The 24,147-nt window shown below is 39.0% G+C and overlaps 1 protein-coding gene across 7 annotated transcripts in view, besides 1 other annotated feature; it reads right to left on the reverse strand.

Moving 5' to 3' along the window:
- The window catches only part of STK39 (serine/threonine kinase 39), a 293,574-nt gene that overhangs the window by 62,846 nt on the left and 206,581 nt on the right, over nucleotides 1-24,147 (reverse strand). For 6 of the 7 annotated variants that reach the window (NM_001410961.1, NM_013233.3, XM_047443944.1 and 3 more), the window contains one exon: nucleotides 176-228. In NM_001410961.1, the coding sequence (NP_001397890.1) occupies nucleotides 176-228 (53 nt within the window). Of the gene's footprint in view, nucleotides 1-175; nucleotides 229-3,845; nucleotides 18,668-24,147 lie in introns of those variants that run through there. The other variant, XM_017003814.3, reaches the window with a different exon arrangement.
- Nucleotides 14,249-14,298: an enhancer, noted in NCBI's record as "active region_16730". NCBI's record gives its function as "activates an Ori minimal core promoter by ATAC-STARR-seq in GM12878 lymphoblastoid cells {active_cell/tissue: GM12878}" and the evidence as "EXISTENCE:reporter gene assay evidence [ECO:0000049][PMID:35858748]".

A 24,147-nucleotide genomic window follows, 5' to 3' on the forward strand; every position in this document is an offset into this window, starting at 1 on the left:
TGGTTTGGTTTGGAATCCTTAGAAGTATCAAAAGTCCTTCCTTCTGTCTATCTCTCCTTCCTTCCTTCACTATTAAACAAAGCAGTTTTAAATAGCAGATTATAACCACATGCTTGTAATCAATTTCTGCAATGCTCTTTGAGGCAATAAAATAATAACTTCAATTAAAACTTACCTCTTCCTGGAGTAAACTCAAATCGTATGTCATTAAGTTCCTTTCTGGAGTTTCTGAAATACATAACATATAATACATTAAAGTCTAGGGAAGCAGAGTTTAGTCGAACTACATGTATTCAGATTTTCACAAGATGCTACTAACATGTGGATAACATTTTACAGTTTGAGGTTACCTCCAAGTATTTTGTTAACTGGAAAAGATAGTTATAACAGTAATAATGAAGAGATTTCTTTAATTTGATTGAATTTACCTTATATAAACATGCTTATATCACAAAATTCCAAAAACAAAATGTTCATTTTATAAAATCTGCACTAAACAGGAAACCTTAATTTTTTTTTTTTTTTTTTTTTTTTGAGACAGAGTTTCGCTCTTGTTGTCCAGGCTGGAGTGCGATGGTGTGATCTCACTGCAACCCAGGTTCAAGCTATTCTCCTGTCTCAGCCTCCTGAGTAGCTGGAATTACAGGCATGTGCCACCATGTCCGGCTAATTTTTTGTATTTTTAGTAGAGATGGGGTTTCTCCATGTTGGTGAGGCTGGTCCCAAACTCCCGACCTCAGGTGATCCCCCCAGCCTCGGCCTCCCAAAGTGCTGGGATTACAGGCATGAGCCACCACACCTGGCCAATATAATTTTATTAAAAATTTCAGAAGCCTTTAGTCTAAAATAAATGGTATCCATTTTTTTTCTTGAAAAATACTATTTTATTAAATCATTTTTAAAAGTGAAACAAACAGGGAAGACGGTCTCAGTGACAGAATTCAAGAAGCACTACACATTAAATCATGTAGCACAACACCAAGAGAAAGGTATGCATTTGGTAGTTTAAAATTTTATCTAAATTTAAAAGTTTTATATATTCAGTGGGCAATTTTGCAACATTTTGCCCCATGAATATATAAAACTTTAAGTAAATGTAAAGGCTTACACAAAACTGAAAAATATACATGTATATGCAATTTAAAAATTAAATGGCACTGGGGAGATATTAAATACATAAATATCTGAGACACAAGTTTTCCATTCAAATTAATTTTAAGAAATGATAATAAGGGGCAGTGAGCTATAATTAGAATAGTTTCAACTTCTTGTAAGAACACTAAAATATTATAAGTATCAACAGATGCTAGAATTAAGGTTAATAAAAACATCTTAAGAAATCGCAGTAGAAGCCAGGCACAGTGGCTCACGCCTGTAATCCCAGAACTTTGAGAGGCTGAGGCAGGTGGATCACTTGAGGTTAGGAGTTCGAGACCAGCCTAGCCAACATGGTGAAACCCCATCTCTACTAAAAATACAAGAATTACCCGGGAGTGGTGGCCCATCCCTGTAATCCCAGCTACTCAGGAGGCTGAGGCAGGAGAACTGGAACCCGGCAGGTATTGCAGTTAGCCAAAATCACACCACTGCATTACAGCTTGGGTGGCAGAGCAAGAGTTCATCTCATTTTTAAGAAAAGAAAGAAAAGAAAGAAAAGAAAGAAAAGAAAGAAAAGAAAGAAAGAAAGAAAGAAAGAAAGAAAGAAAGAAAGAAAGAAAGAAAGAAAGAAAGAAATTGCAGTAGGAAACATGAACTAGTATTAGCTGAGCCTCTGAAAATGTCTAAGACAGAGTCAGAGATGGCCTGAATACCCATCCCTGAACATCCTCCTGAGGAGCTGGGAAACTGAGCATTCGCACTGTAAAGCTCTGTGTAAAACCTCCTGGTCTCTGTGAACTGTGCCCAAACCACAATGAAGCTGGTCTCTGGGCCCTTTTTGGTCCACAGCCTGATTTTGGTTCTTTATGTCCTACCACATCCAACCACACTAAGAGCAAGGAGGCCCACAAGGATACACAGGGCATGGCACTTGCTGAAAGAATGCCCTTTTCCTCAGTGTCTAGAAAGCCAGCCCAAGTCTCACACCTTTCCATAAACAAAACAGGGAGAAGTAAAGGGCCAATACCTCAAGACATGTCCAAGCCCACACCGAGATATGAGAGCCTTGGACCTTGAACTTTGTATCTCCCTTCAGGTTTCCCCAACCTTGACTTTTATCACTACTCCCCTCAGGGCTAAAATGGGACCAGGGACTGCCGCAGTTCCTATAACTGTGCTTCTTTTAGGACCTGTGGAAATCTGAAAACTGTGAAAATTGTGGATCCTCACCCTAAAAGAAAGTAGATACAGCAGTCCCCCTTTATCCGTGATTTCACATTTCATGGTTTCGGTTACCCATGTCAGTATAATAAAATATTCTGAGAGAGAGAGACCACATTCACATATCCTTTATGCCATTATATTGTTGTAATTGTTCTATTTTATTATTAGTTCTTGTTGTTAACCTCTCACTGTGCCTAATTTATAAATTAAGCTTTATCATAAGTACGTATATATAGGGAAAAACATACTGCATAGATGGTTCAGTACTATCTTTGGCTTCAGTTATTCACAGTGGTTTTGAAACGTACCCTTGCGAAGATATGGAGGGATTACCGCACATAACTTATGCACAAAATTGTAGGTAACTACAGAGGATTTAGAAATCATGTTGGACCCCAGACTAAAGAACCCTGCCCTGGAGGTGGAGTGTACCATTCACAACAGTGCCTGCAGTGGGAGGATGGTTTGTGTGCTGCACTGTTTAAATAGCTTAAACTTTCTTTATATTTATTTATTTATTTTTTTGAGATGGAGTCTTGCTCTGTTGCCTGTCTCCCAGGCTGGAATGCAGTGGCAAGATCTTGGCTCACTGCAACCTCTGCCTCCCGGGTTCTAGCAATTTTCCTGCCTCAGCCTCCCGAGCAGCTGAGACTACAGGAGTGTGCTACCACGCCCAGCTAATTTTTTGTATTTTTAGTAGAGACAGGGTTTCACCATGTTGGCCAGGCTGGTCTTGAACTCCTGACCTCAAGTGATCAGCCTGCCTCAGCCTCCCAAAGTGTTGGGATTACAGGTGTAAGCCACTGCGCCTGGCAAAGTTTCTTAATAAACTACCAACGTCACCACTGCACATTTACATAGTGCTTTCATATATATTAGCAGTTCTCAAACTTTTTGGTCTTAGGACACTTTTATGTTCTTAAAAAGTAGTGAGGACCCCTAAAGAGATTTTGTTTATGTGGACTATATCTATCAAAGTTTACTATATTAGAAATTAAAATTGACAATTTAAAAAAATTTATTAATTTGAAAATGACAACCCCATTATATGTCAATATAAATTTTATATGAAAAATTACTTTCCTTTTCAAAATGAAAACAATTCAGTGAAAAAGAGTCCATTGCTTCACAGTTTTGTAAACCTCTGTAATATCAGGCTTAGGACAGCTCGAATCTTACAATTGTTTCTGCAAGCTGTTGCAATGTTGAATGTTACAGACACAGGAATTTAAAAATTCCACTGAATATGTGTGAAAGAGTGAAAAAGGCAAGTAATTTCTTGCTACTATTATAAAAATAGTTTTGACCTCATGGGCTCCCTGAAAGGGTCTCAAAGACTCCCAGGGTCACTGGACTACATTTTAAGTAACACTAATATATAAATGTATACACATACATACATATGCATGTACACATAATATACACATATATGTATATATTATATATAATTAAATGAGATTATGTATCATATATAATCATTTATTATATATCATATATAATCTCATTTAATTCCAATAATTAACCTTTGAGATATGCAAAGAGGTATTATTTGTTTTCCATTTTTTCCATGACTGTGTTCAATGGCTTCTCCAAGTTTACAAATTTAATGAATGGCAGAGTGAAGGCCAATAATTCCATACTGAAGGTACCAAATACAAACAGAAATGCTCAATTCCTTTAACTTTTAAGAGAAAGCAATGTTATTCCCCAAGATTTTGCATGTTCTCATAAAACAATCACCAAGCATTCATTTCCTTAATAGTCTTGGTTTTATGTGCTGTATATGAGCAATGATTCACTTCAAACTAAAGTAGTCCAATAACAAAACAACCATGAGGAAAGCAAGTATTTATAATGTGTTTAATAATAAAATGACAGGAAAAAAATGAGGAATTTGGTTGGACATTAATTTGTGTCATTGTTCATTTCCTCTCTTCCTTTCCATCAGTCTTATTTAAATATATTTATTCTAGTAAGGTCATGAGAAGAGAGGTGTAAGAACTGTACCCAGAATATCACTATGCATATCCTGATGCTTCAAATATTAATAACACAAAAAGTAATATCCAACACCCATAATCTCTGCCTATATCACCTGTGGTTCAAGTTATGGAGGCTGCGTAGTCAAGTCATTCTTTTTATGACTCTGAACCTAAAATACTCGCCTTTGAAAAGATCACAGTGATTGATTGTGAGTAGTAGACTTGTCCCATCAAGATGAAATATAGTTGGAAAAATGCCTAATTGGAGCGAACTACTGAAGGTCATCTTTTTATAAAGAATTAATCTTTTCAGACTCATACTTAACACCTTTAATTGAAAGTACATTTACTTTAATTGATATGGCACAGGACACTCTTGATTTCAGGGAAGCTGAAAATAGGTATGATTTAAGGCCAGAAACTAAGTCTGAGCAACTTTATAGAGGAAATGATAAAAACTTGAGAGTAACAGTTTCAACACTCGGCTGCCTTTGATAATTTTTATTAAAAATCCTTTTAATCTTAAAATAAAAACTCTTAAATTTGGTAAGGTACAGCCTCTTATAGCTCATTGCACTGAAAATGCAAATACATACAGAACTCAGAAAGGACATTTATTTTTTTTTTAAGTAGGTGATACAATCATATGGCTTAAAAATTAAAAGGTACAATAGGGCATTAAATATTCTGTGAAAATTGGCCCTCTCACTCCTGTCACCCAACTACCTGGTTGCCCTTCCAGGGGCAATCAGTGTTTTATGAATTTGGTGCATACTTCTTGAGATGTTTTATGCATGTACCAGCAAATATACATATATATTGAATACAGATGATAGCATAGTATATCCACTGTTCTGTATCTTGCCTCTCTTTTAACATAATACCATCTTGGAATTTCTCCATGTTAGTTTGTAGAGAGTTTTCTCATTCTTTTCTTTATAACTACATAGTTTTCTCTGGGATGCTACAGCCTTTTTTCACCAGTTCCCATTCTATGAACAGACTGTTTCCAATCTTTCACTATTGTAAACAGTGCTTCAATAAGTAACCTTATTCTTAGGTCATTTTGCATAAATACAAGTATAAAAATAAATGTCTAGAGGTGAATTCTTTGGTCAAAGGATATATGCATTTGTAATTTGACACACATTATGAAATTCCCCTTCATTTAAGTTGCACCCATTTATGCTCTTACCCACCATTTGTAAGCACTATTGCAGGAACTTTGAATAAATCAGAATGTATTAATAACCAGGGAGATGTGGGGACTGTGCCAGCTGGAAAGCTTCTTCCCCATCTAAAGGGGACAACCACTATTCAGTGCCTGCAGGTTATGGCCAGACAGGATTGGACTCAATGTTGCTCAATATTCAGATTTGTCAGAGAAAAAAGAAATTTGAAATTTTATATGACATTCCATAGTTTTAATTGTTGATACTAATTTTAAAATGTTCACACTAATGTGTGGGCCAGATTCAGTCTATTACCATTCATTAGTGAGGGCAAATATAAAATATAACTTCTGCTGATAGTAATAAACCGATTTCTGGGGATGAAGTTTTCTGAAATGGTAAACTTCAAAGTTCTTTTTAAGGATCTACTAAAAAGAGTCAAATAAATGATACACAGACCCACAGACTGAAGGCATGGGAGAAATTAATCATGGGAAAGAAAAATAAAGCCACAGAAACCTAACGAAAAGAAAATACAATTCATAAACTTATAAAACTGAAATTCGTTTTTTTCATTTTTTGGATTCTTTTAGAGACAAGGTCTCACTTGGTTGCCCAGGTAGTACAGTGGCACACTTGTTGCTCACTGCAGCCTCGAACTCTCGGGCTCAAGCAATCCTCCTTCCTCAGCCTCCTGAGCAGCTTAAACTATGGGCATGTGCCCCCATACCTGGCTAATTTTTTAATTTTTTGTAGAGACAAGGGTCTTGCTATGTTGCTGAGGCTGGTGTTGAACTCTGGACTCAAGTGATTCCCCCTACCTCAGGATTCCAAAGTGCTGGGATTACAGGTGTGAGCCACCATGCCCAGCCTGACTTTAAAAAAATGTTTAGTAATTGATGTTCAGTGCTGACAAACTTTTTTTTTTTTTTTTGCTATGTCTATTTAACGTGAGAAGTTCAGAGATACAGATTGGCGTGCATTAAGTTTTTCTTCTTGTTCTTTCAGTTCATCTTCAAGTGACACAACGAACAATCAAACGAGGCAGCTGGCTAAGAGGCTGGTAATGCAGAACACGAACGGACACCCATCCCTTCCCAGTGGTGGAGGTGCAGAAGGCAGGTGCGATTGAAGTATATATTTTACAGGATGTAGCTTTTATCTGCACCTCTTAATGTACCGTGTCAGGACAATCTGACAGAGTTATTGCTCCTGGAGGGCTCCAAAGCCAAAATGCCAGCTCAGAACTATTTGCATCCTTCAGCCTCACATTACCGTCTCTTAGCCCATGCCAGCAGCAGTATGAGGGCACTCACACTCTAAGACCCAGATGTGATTAAAGCGGTAGAAATCCAAAGACCACTCATTGTCAAAGAGCATCAGAAACAGTAAGTGTCACTGGCATTGTATACCCTCCACCGCAGGGATGCTCTCAAATGAAGATGAAAGGCAACTATTTCCCCGAGCTTTGAGGTTGGCAACACCACCAAGGGTCTCTGTAAGAGTGCCAGGGATAGTGTTTCCCAGGGACCCAGGAGCAGCTGCTCGCTCCTAAGCAGCAGAAGATTTCTCATCAACAGCCCTCTTCTTCCTTACTTTTACCCGAAATTCCAGGTGAAGGTGCAGCTGTTAGTGTCCAGGGAATTTCAAAGGGATACCCACACACTCAATTCCTGGACTATCTCCCCGCTATCAGGAGTAGGAAGGGGGCCTTTTAAAAAGGCTAAGCTAGGAATTGGTCAGGACATCATTTTTAGTTCAGCTTGCCTCTTGTCCTACTCTGGGCACCAAACCAAAGTCCATCCCCACAGTCTTAGGAGAAGAAATGGATGGACTGTGGCTCCCAGTGAGCTGGGCAGATACTTCTGCTTCACACGAGGAGGCCGCCTGGGGCAGGATGAGGAGATAATGTGACCCATGCAGATGGGGATCTGAGTTCAAAACCACAAACTACTTATTTGGCCTTCTGTAACCTGTTTCCTCAACTGTGAGAGGGGGAAATAATAATTCACAGCTGCTATGGTTTGAATGTCTCCCCCAAAAAGGATGTGCTGGAAACTTCATCCCTGATGTGACTGTGTTGGGAGGTAGGGCCTAATGAGAGGTGTTTAGGTCATGAGGGCGCCACCCTCACAAATGGATTAATGCCAATTCTAAAAGCGCTTGAGGCTGTGAGTTTAATCTTTTGCTCTCTCTCACCCTCTCTTTGCACTTCTGCCATGGCATGACACAGCAAGAAGACATTAAGATGGTGCAGCCCCCAACCTTAGACTTCCCAGCCTCCAGAACCAAGAGCCAATACATTGCTGGTCATTACGAATTACCCAGTCTATGGTATTTTGTTGTATCAGCACGAATGGACTAAGACAACAGCATTTCCTATCTGCTGGGACATGCTTGATGTTTTACATATGTTATCTCAGTCCAAACTCAAAGCAACTCTTAAAGCAGGAACTGCTCTTATCCTCTATTATTTTAGAGACAAGGAAACTGAGGCTTAGAAAGGATAAAGAATAGATCCAAAATCACAGTCTGAACAACAGAGCTGAACTAAAGCTGGAACTTTAAAAAATGTTACCCATTATCTTCACCAGTGCACATCCCTTACCCGCCTACTGGGTACACAGATAGTATTTGTTGAACAGATGAATGAATGCAGAGTTTACAAGTCTGGCTTTTATAAAGTGCCTCTCCCTGGCTTCTGTAATACCACCTCCTTCTGGTCTCCTCCAGTCCCCCAGCTGCCCTTTCTCTGTGTGCCCCAAACACTCCTCTACCTCTGTATGGCTGTCTCTTCAGTGTTAATGTTCCATCCCTCACCATTTCCCCTTCTCATTCTCTCCCTTGATGATTAATTCCAAATCCATAACTCAATCTCAGGTACTGCCCCAGAGCTGAAAATTCATTATCAACTACCTATATGGTATCTCTCAATGCAATGTCCAAAAAGACACCAAAAGGCACAGCATCTCCAAAACGGAATGTATCACTTTTCCTCTCAGATACATTTCCCTTCCTTAGCTCCTTATGGCAGTAAATGATAGTGATGGCCCACTATCAAGACCTGTAGGTTATACCTCTGTAAGAGTTCTCGTATCATCCGTTTCTCTCAAACTTCACTGCTACTGACCAAGGTCAGGCCACCATCGTCTACCACAGATGAGAAGAAATGACTGAATAAGTAAAGAGTATTTCACATGCACTCACATATACACACGTATACATGGCTTTTGCTAAGGCTAAAGACATACAACAGCAGGAAAAAGGGCTGTAAAAGGTTGAGGGAGCTGCTATTCAGGGAATAGTCCTTGGCAGACGAATGTGCAGCCCTCAGGGAAAATTGTTGTACTTAATGAGACATGAAAAGATTAGGCAATATGAGGATACACAGAAGGAACCTACAAATGAAGGCCAGAAATAAAAGAGCCACGAAGTGAAAGGGGCAGCTTCCTGTGGCCAAGCTGACGGCTGCTCTGAAGCAGTATCCCTGCTCATCCCGGGGCCTTCCTATGGCAGTGTCTTCACGTCAGAACTGGAGACTCCTTCGGGAATTGAAGACTGGTCAGCTGAGCCCAATTTGGAGTTAATCCACTTACCAGCAATGACATTCAGTAAGCCACTTCACCTCTCCAACATTCGGTTTCCTCTGCAGTAAAAAGGGGAAATAATGCTTCCCTCGCAGATTTAACAAGCTGTGTGAAAACACTGTATGAACTCTGTGCTACTGCTATAAGCCATTATTAGGCCTCATATTTTGAGGCACATAGAAATAGGGAGAAAAAGTCATAGTTCCAGTCATTAACAAGTTTCCGATCTTTGCAGAAAATGATGGTCAGTTTATGTAAACTACAGGGAAAAACAATGTAAGTAAGTGCTTAAAAAATACTAGTAGCGAAGGAAATCTTGAACTAATTCAGAGAAAGGTGTATTCCCCTCTCTTGGCTCTCACTCTGATCCATCCTTCACACTCCTGTCAAATTAATCTTCCTCCGAGGTAAAGGTCCAATCACAGAATCATATAATTTTACAACTGAAAGAGGCCTTAGAGGTCACCTAATCCATTTCTCTGATTCTTTAGGTGAAGAAACTGAAGCCAAGGAGATTAAGTGGCTTGTCTAAGATAACACAGCTGGTTAATTCATGCCATTCTCCATAAATCATTATTGATCACCTACTATGTGTCAGGTTTGTGCCAGGAGCCATTAACGGAAGAAATGACAACAGAACCTGGGACTCAGGACCTCTAGACCACTGCTCTTTATTCTAGACTGATGGCTCTCAAACTGCAGGCAGGGTGAGGGGAGGTGCAATCTCTAAAAGGAAGACTTTTCCCCCAGTTATACCCCTGCACTCAGTTAAGAATTGCTGCATGCAGTGAGAGGCACTATAGACGGGAAAGTGTCTTCCATGATTGATATGATGGCAGAAATTAAAATTTATATAATCAGCTCTGTAGTCAATATGACACAATGTTACCATTTAACACATTCTATGTCAGGCCCAGTGGCTCACGTCTGTAATCTCAGCACTTTGAGAAGCTGAGGAGGGAAGATCACTTGAACCCAGGAGTTTGAGACCAGCCTGGGACACACCGTGAGATCTGGTCTCTACACACACACACACAAAATTCTAGATGGTAGATACATGTGCATTTATTACTTTGCACATTCCTATATGTTGAAATGTTTTTTATAATTTTTGAAAGTATTATATACTAGAGGAAAAAAGAACCACTGAGTTTGTTGAGGTTGGAGGGTGGGTAAGGTAGGGGAAAGGAAACAGTTTGTGCCCTCTATCTGTGGCTCTAAAGGTTGAGAACCACTGCTGAACCTATCAGCACTGTGGCCCACAGCCTTGCCCGAAATCGAAGCTCTCCTGGATGTGTGTATCTCCAGCCACCATGGGCCATATGCTCCAAGGCTGTGAGAATAGTAGCTGAACCACATACTTTCCCCTCCCCTCCAAACCCTTGCCCTTACATTTAACTTACTGCAAAAGTGTCTTTTGGATCAGTGAGTCTTCTAAAAAGTGAAAATTCCTTTCAGCGTGCACCTCCACACGTGCAGAAATATGCCCCTGGCCTAGAAAATGTAGTTAGTAGCATCTGGAATTCTAGTCTGCATCAAGCCATGCAGCATCACACAGCCCCAAACCAATGTCAGATAGATCAGAAAGTCACACTGTTCCCTTTAACAACAACAAAAGCAGAGACTAAGTGATATACATACATGCATGTACACATACACATGTATGTACACACACGTACATGCACACGTGTGTGCATGAGCACACACATACACAAATACGCACAAGGTTTTCTTCAAATAAGATATCTCAACATATTTTAAAGAATTTGGCCTCACACACTGGTTAACTGCAGGTTCTTCTGCAACTGGAACCTCAGGCTTGAGACTCTTGACAGTTCCCGCTGGCTACCTGACAGCCTGAAGGACCCTTTTAGGTTTGCGGCCTGCAGGGAGCAAACAGTCTGGCTGCATAGGATTTCACACAGCTGACACCGACACTAGCAGTGCACACATGTCAGCCTTTCATGGAGAGATCTCTAATACTCAGTCCAGGGCTGACACATGAATAAATCGCATGCAGAAATATAAATAACAGACTTCTTCCCTAGCTACGAAAAAGAGTTTTCATCTAGAAGTAATCCAAACTAAGTTAAGGTGATTTTCTCTGACAGAAACCTCTGGAAAATCTCCATGCCTGCCAGGTGAAGGGCATGGCTGTTTCCTCTCCCTAACCTTACCCACTCTTCAACCTAAACAACCATGGTGGACTCTTTTTTTTTCTCTATTACATAATAGTTTCAAAAATTATAAAAAACATTTCAACATACAGGAATGTGCAAAGAGTAATACAATGAATACACATGTGCCTACCATCCAGAATTTTAAAAATGGTAATATTTTGTCATATTTACTTCAGAGCTGAATACATAAAATTTTAAGAATGTTTCACCTACACAGCACAAAGTCACTTGTGTTACATCCCAGCTATAGTAAATCAGGAGAGAACAGGTCATTGTGTAAGGGTGCTGCTTCCTGTCAAGATTATGGAACTATAATGTCACATGTAGCAAGCAGTCCTTTTCAGCATTTAGGATGTCTAGTGAATATATTTATTGAACTTATTTTCACTTATGGGGCAAAGGGGAAAAGGAGTAATCATATAAATACCAGACTCATGTTAATGGCAGGTAGGAGCAGAAACATGATAGTCTGGTCAAAGTTCACACTTTTTTGTAGCAGGAAAAAATGTTAATCATGCTCACTATGTAAGGATCTCTGTAGATCACTGTTCTTTTCAATCAACTGATACAGGACCAGCCTTCATTAACATTATTTGTGCCTTTAAGTTTAGGGTGTGGTGGGTTTTACTGCAGAGAACTCACAGACTCATCATTGTCTCTGTGATGTATACCTCTCTCCCATGCATGAGGCTCCCAAACCAACACGCTAAGTACTTTCTAACAGGAATGTAAAGGCATCTATAAGACATGAACCTAATATGTGTCCATTTGGGACCCAGACATCATGTCTTAGTAGGTGTATTTATACAAACTGAACAGTATATGGCGAGGTGGGTGGAGCTGCACACATTGGTACATTCTGAGATAAATGCATTTTTAAGACAATAGAAGTTTATATCTTTAAGGCACAAACTGTTACAAACTCTAACTATTAAGGACAATTATGGTTTTTGCCAACTAGTTATTTGGTTTAATTCTTGCAAGAAGGATGTTAAATAGTTTCAAAATTAAACTAAATATATAACTGAACATTTTGTTGTTAAAAATAACAGACATTAATTAAAAGGAATGCAGAAAGAGACATTAGTACATACTTGAGATGTCAGTTACTCCAACTGAGCACCGGATTTAGCTTTACTTGCCTGAAACTAAGGCAGAAAAGGGAAACTGTTGCATAGTATAGTTCTAACTTCATCAAAAGAGAAACATGCAAGGCAGATTTTGTTTATCTTGGCATTAATTTCAGGGAAAATTTTATTATGGAAGACCCTTTATAAGGGACACTGAGTAATGTCTTCAACTTATGTTACAAAAGACAGAAGCCTTTTTCATATAAATGTCTTCAACCATATGGTGCAAACGATGAAAGTTTTTTTCTCCCAGGTGCTGAAGACACAATATTAAATCTTGCCTGAGTGATGGCATTTCTGCTGGGAGCTGAAATAATACATCAGAAGCACATTGTTTACTGATGATTTACCTCAACAGAGGGAGCTCAAAGAACCTGGAGAAATGGATCGCCTATACACACTTCTTCCTGAGGCCCCAAAAGTGTCTTGTCAAGTGCTACAAAGGGCGATTTCATGACTGCTTTCTCCGACGGGTATTTGAAGGGGTCTGAAAGTCTATGTACTGATTAGACATAGATCTTTCCCCTTAGCTAAACCATCTGTAGGAAGCAGAAGTAACATTCTGCCATGAACATGCAGGAGACTGGCTTATGTCCTCTCTTGGAAAGCTGGTGGCTAACACCTAAGAGAGTGGGTTGCTGGATGTGGCAACTTCCAAAGGAAGTTCTGTGTCTGGCCAACACCTTGGACATGTACTCAGCTAAATCTCCCAATTTTGGGCCGGGTGCGGTGGCTCATGCCTGTAATCCAAGCACTTTGGGAGGCCGAGGTGGGCGGATCACGAGGTCAGGAGATAGAGACCATCCTGGCTAACACGGTGAAACCCCGTCTCTACTAAAAAATACAAAAAATTAGCCAGGTGTGGTGGCGGGCGCCGGTAGTCCAGCTACTCGGAAGGCTGAGGCAGGAGAATGGCATGAATCTGGGAGGCGGAGCTTTCAGTGAGCCGAAATCCAGCCACTGCACTCTAGCCTGTGTGACAGAGCGAGACTCTGTCTCAAAATAATAATAATAATCTCCCAATTTTGTTGCTTCAGAATAGGGAAGAAGTAATTTTTTTTGCTTAAAAGTTTTAAAGATGTGTGTGATTAATCAAGTGAGTTAGCCATAGAGAACCAGCATAAATCACAAAAAATATAAAGTGAGCAGACAATACATTCTTTAAACTTTAGCCAAGAAATCACAGAAATAGAAACATACTTTAATTTTCCTATTCCTGTAATTTTACTATTAATGTATATGTGTAATCGAATCCAGGGGAAATTATATTAAAGATTAGCAAATTTAAAAGGAAAATGATCACTCATCAAAGGAAAAAACTGTGAAGAACTAATTAATAAGAAGTGTTAACGCCAGTGTCCTCCAGGGTAGAAATGTAAGCAGAATCCCCCTGACTTTTCCACAGGTGGTACTGCAAGATAATTAAATTTGATGATGAATGAGATGGAGCAAGTATTTCCCCTTTTGATCCACTTCAGGTAAAAGGCCTGTAAGTAACTGCATTTACAGTCTAGGATGAATGACCCTTGGGCAGAGCCACTATAAATCCTCAAGTTCAACTTTTCTGAAATTACTTCAGCAAATGATTATTTATAAAATACATAGTTGCACAGAAAGTAACATTGTTCCTAGGCATTTGCTAGGTTGTTAATGTATATCAGAAGGAAACATCCATGCACGAGAATACATCAGGGCACACTTGCCAGGAGACCGGATGAGGACAGGACTTTTCATGCAGAATGTCTAAACAAACCAAAAATCCAAAGATTCTCTCAAGGCAAAAAGAAAGAAAAAATGCATCTGCTTGTTTTTGGAGGTTGGGGTTACATGGTTCTCCAATGACTAACACTCACAGGACTGAAACTCCTCTGGCCTGCCCTGGAGAAGAGCGGAGTGGGTGCCTGAAAGCTGAGAGCAGAGCTTGGAAAGCCCCTTTTAGGGTGACATCTCCCAGAAGGGCAAGGGTACCAGAAGGGGTATGATTTGCATGACAGTATTTAAAGAGACGACAAATACCTGACACTGTTTCCAGGTCAGTTTTTTACAAAATCTATTTTCTTTTTAAATCTGAAGATTCCCTCAAGTAAGAGAAGGGAAATCTGAAGCTCAGCCTTATCTGCTTCCCAGGGATGCCCCTTCTTAAGCCCCACTGCTGTTCTGCCCACACAACTCTTATTAACACAGAGTGGCCCTGAGAAGTGGCCACCACATGAAGCCTTTTCCCTTCTCATTTCTTATGGGCTGAACACACAGTTCAGATTCATGTTGAAAGCCTAACAGCCAGTACCTCAGAATGTGACCGTATTTGGGGACAGGGTCTTCAAAGAGGTAATTAAAGTTAAGTGAGATCATTAGGGTGGGCCCTAATCCAACAGGACAGGTGTCGTTATAAGAAGAGATTAGGACACAGACATGTGCCCGCACAGAGGAAAGATCACATAAGAACAGCAAGAAGGTCTTCTACAAGCCATAGAGAGAGACTTCAGGAGAAGCTAAACCTTTGGGCAGCTTCATCGTAGACTTCTAGGCGCCAGAACAATGAGAAAATAAACTCCTATTGTTTAAGCGACCCAGTTTGTGGTTCTTTGTTAAGGCAGCCCTAGCAAACTAATATACTATCTGATTCTGACAAATATTTAAAAGTCAACATTTGTCCCTTTGGTAAAAACTAAATTTGTTCTCGGCCTCTGGAACACTAACTTATACCACTCATTATTACAATGGTTTGGGAAGACATCATCCCTTCAACGGTTCCAAATAAAGTAAATAAAATGAAATCAATCACTTGGCATAGATACCAGCCACCCTAATTGGAAATTTCCAAGCACCTGAAGTTTGCCAAAAGTAGAAAAACCCTTGTGCTTATTCATGAAATATAGTCTTCAATGGTGCAATGTCAACTCCACCATGAAGGATATATCCAAGGACAAGACTTAAAAGCAGACTGGTATAATATGTAATCGTATTTCAAACGCTCAAAACATTTTCCTCAGTGTTTAAACACATGCCGTGTGATTATCAAATAATAAAGCTGATTTTTGTGTATGAGTCATGGAATCTGTATGATTAGAGCCATAACTCACATTTGGATGATTTGAAAAACTTGTTCTTTGAGAATGTTGAATAAGCAACACCCAGGGGTGTAACTGTACCACCAAGTTAAGGACTTAACAAGACTGTGGGGGTAATGTGTTTTCCATACCTAAGAATAACTAATGAAAAAGATACACCCAACAATTTCCTTCATAATGGTTTCTTCAATGACTGTCCTTTACCTAAACCGTTGACTTCTGACAAGTTTTTAAGACTAGCTTATCTTTCCTGACCTCTTGAGTAAAAATTTAATAAAGGATGTCAGGCTGGACAAAGACAAGTTCTCACTCTTCAGAAGTGTATATACAGTGCATCCTGCAAACAACCTGCTATTTGCCTCTTCACAGTAAAGTGACAGACGTGCTTTTCAGAAAGGAGGTACAAAAAAACAAAGCAAAACAAAAACCTAAAAAACAGTGCCCCTGCGACTGGAGAGAGGAAAGAAGCTCTGAAGGAAAAGATAAGAGGGCCCTTTCCCCGATGGGTAACATATAGGAGAGCTTTCCTCTATGTCTGAGGCAAAATAAAATAACCATTGATTCTCTGTCAACTTTAATTTAAGAAAATTACTTGGTTTAAGAAGAAGTCGAGTTGCTGAATGTTCATTTGAAAAATAAAAGGATGGTAAAGGTTAACAGTTATAAGCCTTTTTGGCAAATACACAGAATTCAAGAGATGGGTCAGAGGAGCTAAGATGTTGGGTAGTCTCTCTCCCCTAAAGAACCTGGCACAGGTCTGCCAACATAAGTACATTCCCAATAAATATTCATGAAGTTGAACTGAATCAAGGGATACAATAGTCGTCCTTACCTGATGCATGGCAGTATATTAAATGTAAGTATACTTGACAACATTTCTAGGTACGGAAGTCAGCAACCTTAACCCTTAATAAACACTCAAGTAACACCAGCAAAAAGAAAAAAAAAAAAGAGTTTCTGGGCTGAGAGCATTTGAGGTGCTTTGCAGGTCAGAGCTATGCTCAATAGAGGAAATATCGCATTAGGACAAAATCTAAGAAAGGTAAAGGGCTCTGTTCCATTGAAGAGACTTCCGGCTACGAAACTATTCCTCCTGAGCAGTGAGCCAACAGTCAACATTTGGGATGGTGGGTTCAGCTCAGACAAGACTCAATATATAGAAGCTGTGGCCTACTCTGGCCTTGGTATATGTAGCAGAGCTCTGGATGGCTACAAAAGCTTTACATTTATGGCTCTAAAACGCTGTTCCTGAGCCACCTGTGCACTGAGTTTCAGGCTGTTCTGAAGTGTACAATACACTTATTTTATTTGAACAGAGAAGGCAGGGGAGCATAACTCCTTGTAACAGCCTCTTTTCTGACTCCTTTCCTATCCTTTCATCAAGAGGAGTCAAAGGAGAGCACAAAGTACTTGGTTGCTTAGGCCGACTCAGCCTGTCCTACCTTGGTTTCTGGAGATAACATTCTGGAGTTTAAATACGGATTGTAACACTGACGAGCTATGAGACCTTGGGGCAATTTACTTAACTTTCCAAGTCTTTCTCTCTTCATCTATAAAATAAGGTAGTGACACGAACTACTTCATGGCATAACTATGAGGAGAAGGCATGGACAGTGCCTTCTGCAAGCACTCAGTATTAGTGAAAAAACATCAACAGCAATATGTATAATCTTTAGGTGTTGTGTTTTACAAGTCCAATCTTAGTCCCTGCCCTGAGATCTTTTCTGTCTCATCCCTTCACCTATCCTAAACAAGAGTGTAGGTATCAAATCCTCCACTGAGTCCTACAGCAGCTGCTAACAATGAACCCAACATACATAACAAGATTTGGGGGAGGCAGGCCCCTGCATGTCCTCAAGCGGCCCAGCATTGCTTGAGTAAACAGGCCCTGACCATGTGGAGGTGGAGACTGACACTCTGGCTTGGGGTTTGAAACAAAGAGACTGGGATTGACTTACCTTGATAATTGTCAGGGAGTGAAACAAGCCCATGAGAATCTGAGAAGTTTTCTGATAATCCAGCTAATAATTGTTGCCCTTATAAATAAATTTAAAGTAATGGCTTTGTTTGGTGAAATCAAAGAGCCAAGTTCATGTGAAGTTAGAAGATATAGAAGACTGAAACATGCTTAAAGTGTGTGATCCTGTCAAATCAGAGGAAGTCTCTGACGAAAAAAGGGATGGAAGAAAAGCACCCATTTTGCCAGTGGCTGGCCACCATTGCTGGTAACTCTCTTCCTCTGCACCAGAAGACAGAGCACACATGGCACTGATGTTACACACTCTCCAGCATTCAGGAACTCACTGGACTAAGGGATACCTGAAGGACCAGTGCTCCAAACACAGGGTGCTATTTAATTGTGGCTCTCATCATTGCTGTTATTATGGATCGGTCACGCAGAAACGCTCCTGGCAACCAGTGACAGCACAGAGCATTATGAAGATGGCCCTGCCATGTTTTGTATTCTGAACATTAAAAACCAGTTTGGCTCAACAAACGAGCAGCGGGTGCCATGCTAATTATATAACTTCTTAGAGCACTAATAGGATTTCCCACTGAGCCAACTGGGAGAAAAAAACCATAATACTCATTTTTATCTGCATCTCAGCAATAGTGACCTCCTTCAGCCTGTTGATGTGGTCATTAATAAAACATTTAAAAATGACCTGAACAGAGAAGTGAAAAGGCTTTTTACAAAAATAGAGCTTGTATCTGACTGCCAAACCGCCATGTATTTGAAAGACTTGGAACCAATATCAAAGTTGGTCGTTAATGATTTGAGGTTGGCCTGGGAACCTCCTGTATCCAGAAGGGTTGTTCATGCTTTTGACTGGTTATGAATGAAAAAAGATTTCTGCCTTTGAGGGGTTTTAAAAGATGGAAATAAGGATGTTTGTGATGGTGCTCTTGCTTTGCTTGGGACATAAAAGATGATTCAATTTCACTTCAGCACCTGACACGTCATCACCAACATGCTTGCTTACAAGTTCCTTTCAATTTTAGAATAATAATTAAAAACAAATATATAGCTACTACTTCAATTCTAAAATATCCCAAAGGGTAGTTATTAAAAGCAAATCAAAGAATTTTATCTTATTTTAGTTTTTCCTTCCCTTTCTCTAACAAAAATAACATAAGTAAAAATATATACAAACTGTACCTTTTTAAACTTCGGCAGAATGTCTAACAGGACATTTAATTAGGTAGACGTGATCAAGTCCATCTAGGAAGTAAGACATGTTACACTGATGGGTGAGTTAAAAATGAAAGAAGAAAAACCGTTCGGCTCAGATACATACAGGGCAAATACTTAGCACAAGGCAATGTGTTAGGACTCCAAAAGAGAAACCACATAGAAACAAAGTACCATACTGACTGTGCTCAGTAAGGTTATGATCAATCATGGCATTCAGAGCTGGAAGGAAACTTTGTGGGTGAGCAGGATAAGGTGAGCAAAAAGGTGTCTAATGTGCTGTCCTTAAGATAATTCTCATCTTAGCTGTTGAAATCATGAATGCCTCTTTCTTTACCTACAAAATCCCTACGCCATCACACCCTGCCACTCTCCTTCTTCAGCACCCTCTCCTCGAACATAACACATTGTAAGCACAAAGGAGACACTTATACTATAAAGCAAGCAGTAAGAGAACCAAGACTTCCCAGCCTTCACATTTCCTAAAATTAACGGGTAAATAAATGTATAACACAGCGAATACGTGAGTCTGTCAAAGATGGAGGGGAGAGGAATGACTGAGGAATTTCAATGTTACTTTGCAGATTTCTTACATTAAGTCAGACATGGCCAGATTTACCAAAGAAAAATGCATAACTCAATATATTTTTCTCTGGGATTAGCCCAAATCAGCGTGGGCGCCAATACCAAAACCACAGTACTGTGAGTCCATACAGGGAAAAAAAAAAAACTTGCTGGCCATGGTTGAAAGATGAGAAAGCTGGTGAAGAAGGCTAAGGCAGTGGGCTCCTGACCCCCAATCACTCTATTCATTTTTAACCTTTGGGAGGATATACTACAAGGACTCCATCAGAGTCAGAAACATGTCATGATGTGCCTTTGGAGGAAAACAGGTGCCACATTACTGACTGCTGCCTGGCATCACATAAACCTAATTTATCTTCATTCTGGCTCTAGGGATGAGAAAAGGATAGCAGTTCAACCGCTCTTGTAAGCTCTCTCTAGAAATGAGCTTACTGTTTTTGGGTAAGATTAAAAATGTTTATCCATATAATTAGACAATAGGTTCAGGAGTAGAGATTTTAAAGGTCGAAGGCAACACAGAGCTTCAGACTTGTCTAGATATCTCTGGCTGGATGAGGTTCAGAGGAGCAGCACCCATTGCATGCTCAGAAGTCAAGGGCTTCACTCAGATACCTGCTTCTGCTTTCTAAAAGCCAGTAAGGAAACGTAGCAACAGGATTCCTAGAGCTTAATGATAGAGCAAGGGTGAGGGTAGGCGCATGCTCCAAGTCTTTCCAGAGAGAGGTTGAGAAAGGAGAAGAGACAGAGAGACTTGTAGGAAGAGGCTGCTCCTCAGCATTTCATTATAAAGGGATAATTTGAGAGTTACTCGAAAAAGAAAATAATCACCACTGGACTTCAGCAGGTAATCACTAAGAACAAATACGTTCAGAATAACCTAATTTCTTTCTTTGCTATTATAATAAACATTTTCATTTCAAGGGAAAGCCTTAGGCTTGCTTTGTTACGACTAATGAACATTTTGGGACATGGTGTGAATTCTTTTAGAGTAAAAATAGAAAAATCAATGTCTTTTTATATAAGAGTGAGTTATTTTATTGGGCGTGGAAACCCTGTAACTACCAAAAGGTCTTTCTGTGCCCTCCCTCACTTTGTCCACCTGGGTATTTTGAGATTTGGCTCTGCAAAGATGCAAAATACAAAATTCAATCACTACTTTCTAATCTACCAATTTAAATTAGCAAAGATTACAAAATGATAAGAGGAAACCAAATGATAGCAATAATTCAGTCTATTAGAGCTTTCTTCACTGCCATCAAGAGTATACATTGATACTAGCTTTTGAGAGAGTTGTTTGGCAATGTTTCCAAATTTTTAAGAGGGTTATACCTACCCATTGACCTAATAATTCAACATCAATGATCTATGATGTGAAATAATTAGAAATCTGACAGTTATCTGTATAAGACCAGTTTTTAGGTCATTGTTTATGGTGGCGAAAATCTGGAACCAAATTAAGTCTCCAGTGATAGGAAGACACTTAAATAAACTACAGTAAAATAACCACAAGATGCAATCCTAAGTGTAAAAATTACCACAAGATACAATCATCCTAAGAAAAATAACCATAAGATGCAATCTTAAGTGTAAACAGCATGGCACAAAACTGCACATATAGTATAATGGGAACAATAAAAAATATATGCAAAGTAAAAGAAATGGAAGGAAATATGCCAAAATGTTAATTATGCTCATTCCTGAGTGATGGTCCGATGGGTAATCATTTTCTTCTTTATAACTTTCTGCATTTTCAAATTTCCTCTGATGAACATATATTACCTTCATAATGAGGGGGAAAGAGTTCCTTTAATAAGATCCACTAATATTTGAAACAGAAGCTGTGCTGTAATGACTCACCATCATTTGAGCAAAAGACTTAAAAGAAAAGGCAGAGAATTGAACTAAAACTTAAACTATGTAAATGTGTTTTGTCAGTGATTCAGACAAACAAACACACAGAGTGAAATAGGTGTGGTTTAGTTGAAAATCTGAAACATTTGGAGAAATGTTACCTATAGTTAGATAGACTAGGATACAAAGCCGAGTCTATGGTATAATTAAAAACACACATGTAAACTTGGAGAAAGTGCTTGGAAGAAAGAACAAAATGTTAATACATGTATTGCTTAGGTAGGAGACTACCTCTGAGTTTATTTTTTGCATCCCCCCAAGCCCACGAAAAAGTGTTTCTTTTATTATGACAATAAAACTTATTACAAATGTTCAGATCTTCTAACAAATGGGGTTGGCACAAGTGTGTATCTGGAAGGAAACAAAAAAACACTGACCTTTGCCTTACACCACTGCACAAAAAGTACTTAAAATATCCATAGACCTAAATGTAAAGGCTAAAATGATTTAAAAAAAAAAACCCTCAGAAGAAAACATAGGAAAAAAACGAAGAAAATCTTCGCAACCTAGAGATAGGTAAAGATTTCTTAAATAGTATACAAGAAAATACAAATCATAAAAAGATACTTTAAATTTTTTATCAAGATTTAAAACTTTTGTTCTTTAAAAGATACCATTAAGAAACCAAAATGCAAGCCACAGAGTGAGAAAAATATTTATTATCCATATGTATCTGGCAAAGGACTTACATTCAGATTATATAAAGAATTTATGTAACTCAGAAATAAGACAATCCAGTAAAATACTGAAACAAGATCTGAACAGAAGACATACATGGCTAAGAAACACATGAGAAAGGTTCAATGTCACTAATCAGAGAAATGAAAGTTAAAACTATAATAAGATACCACTACACACCTATTTAAATGGCTAAAATTAAAAAGATTGACGATACCAAGTATTAACAAGAATGTAGAGGAACTAGAATTCTCATACACTGCTGGTGGGACTGTAAAATGGAAAATCCACTTTGCAAAACTCCTTAAAAAGTTAAACACACACCTACCACCTAACCCAGCCATTGTACAACTAGAAATTTTTCAAAGAGAAATCAAAATATAGACCACTTAAAGACTATACATGAATGTTCATAGCAGCATTATTCATAACAGTAAAAACTGAAAAAAAATCCCCAAATGTCCATCATCAGGTAAGTAAACAAAATGTGGTATATCCATATTCCTCTTTAATCAAAGGGAATGCAACAAAATAGATCTCAAAATAGCTGAGTGAAAGAAGATGGACACAAATGAATACATATAAAAGTCTATAAAATTCAAGCTGATCCATAGCTTGAAAAAAGCAGATCAGGCCGGGCGCGGTGGCTCACGCCTGTAATCCCAGCACTTTGGGAGGCCGAGGCGGGTGGATCATGAGGTCAGGAGATCGAGACCATCCTGGCTAACAAGGTGAAACCCCGTCTCTACTAAAAATACAAAAAATTAGCCGGGCGCGGTGGCGGGCGCCTGTAGTCCCAGCTACTCGGGAGGCTGAGGCAGGAGAATGGCGTGAACCCGGGAAGCGGAGCTTGCAGTGAGCCGAGATTGCGCCACTGCAGTCCGCAGTCCGACCTGGGCGACAGAGCGAGACTCCGTCTCCAAAAAAAAAAAAAAAAAAAAAAAGCAGATCAGTGACTGCCTTTGCCAGAGGTGGAGGGAGGAATGGATTGCAAAAGGGACACAAGGAAACTTCTCAGGGAGAAGGAAATGTTCTGTGTCTTGATGACTGTGATAGCTTCACGGGTGTACACAGCTGTCAAAATTCATCAAACATACTGTACTAAGTGGATGCAATTTATTATATATAAATTATACTGCAATTAAGTTTATTTTAAAAATCAGAAGGCTAAAAGAAAGGTAAGAAACCTATTATTCACCACCCAGGAATTTATTTTTAGATAAAGGTATTGCTGATATATTATACAACCAAATAAGAAATGTCCCATTCAGGCACTGCCTCCCTTGGGAAGCCTCCCTGAGCCTCTCTATCCCTACCTCAGACTCCCTACCCTACTCTAGGTAGAACTCAGTACCATCTCTGGGCTCTGGTCCTCAATCATCCTGTACATTACAATGCCTGTCAACACCGCACTCCGATCTACAAATTACTCAATGACTTCCTCACAGTGAGCCGATTGTATGCTGTGGTTTTTGCCTTGTTCATCTTTATATTACTAACATTGAGAATAAAACTGTTGCTCAATATATATATATATTTGGATAAATGTACAGGTGGACAGATATAGAAAAAATAAAGGAAGAAAAAACTAACCACAAAAGGGCTGAATCAACAAGGATGCCAAAAAAATTACCATAGGTTCCAAGTATTTCTTTTTACACAAAAAAAGGAAAATATAAACCCTTAAGTTGAAAAGCGTCATAGCAGATAAATCACAAAAATTAGGTAGCTCTTGCCCTGAGTAATGGGCTTCAACAAATGCTTTTCGCTAAGTTCTCAAGTGTAATCTTCTTCATGTGGATGAAAAATGTAATACATACCTTCTTCAAAATGGGATAACTTTAGGAATTCCCTACTGGAGAAAATTACTGCCATATAACCTCACTGGACAACAGTTCAAAACATGAAATCCTTCCCAATAAATTTTTTATCCAGATTTCTTCACCTAGAATTTTAAGTGAAATATAGACTTTAATTAATAATTATATGAAGTTTCATTTTCATAAGGAAGTAATACAAGCATATGGCATCTTCATACCTTTAATTGACAAAATGTTTATATTTCTGAAACCCCAGGACTATCAAGGACTTAACCCATAACATTGAAACTATCTCTGTATATGTTTATCTTCTCTCCAAAGCTAAGGGTTCTTTTCCCTTGACACTTAATACAGCACTGCCTTGTTATAGAGTAAGCACTTAAAAAAATAGTCACTGAATTACATAAAGTGACGTTTCTCTCTTTTTTAGTACATGGAACTGTTAACCCATTAAGTTACACAGGTCCCATACTCATGCCTCTTTAAATTTTGTGCATTATGGGAATCAAGGGCACT

The sequence above is a fragment of the Homo sapiens genome, chromosome 2 (genome assembly GCF_000001405.40).
Source record: "Homo sapiens chromosome 2, GRCh38.p14 Primary Assembly".
Classification (NCBI taxonomy): domain Eukaryota; kingdom Metazoa; phylum Chordata; class Mammalia; order Primates; family Hominidae; genus Homo; species Homo sapiens.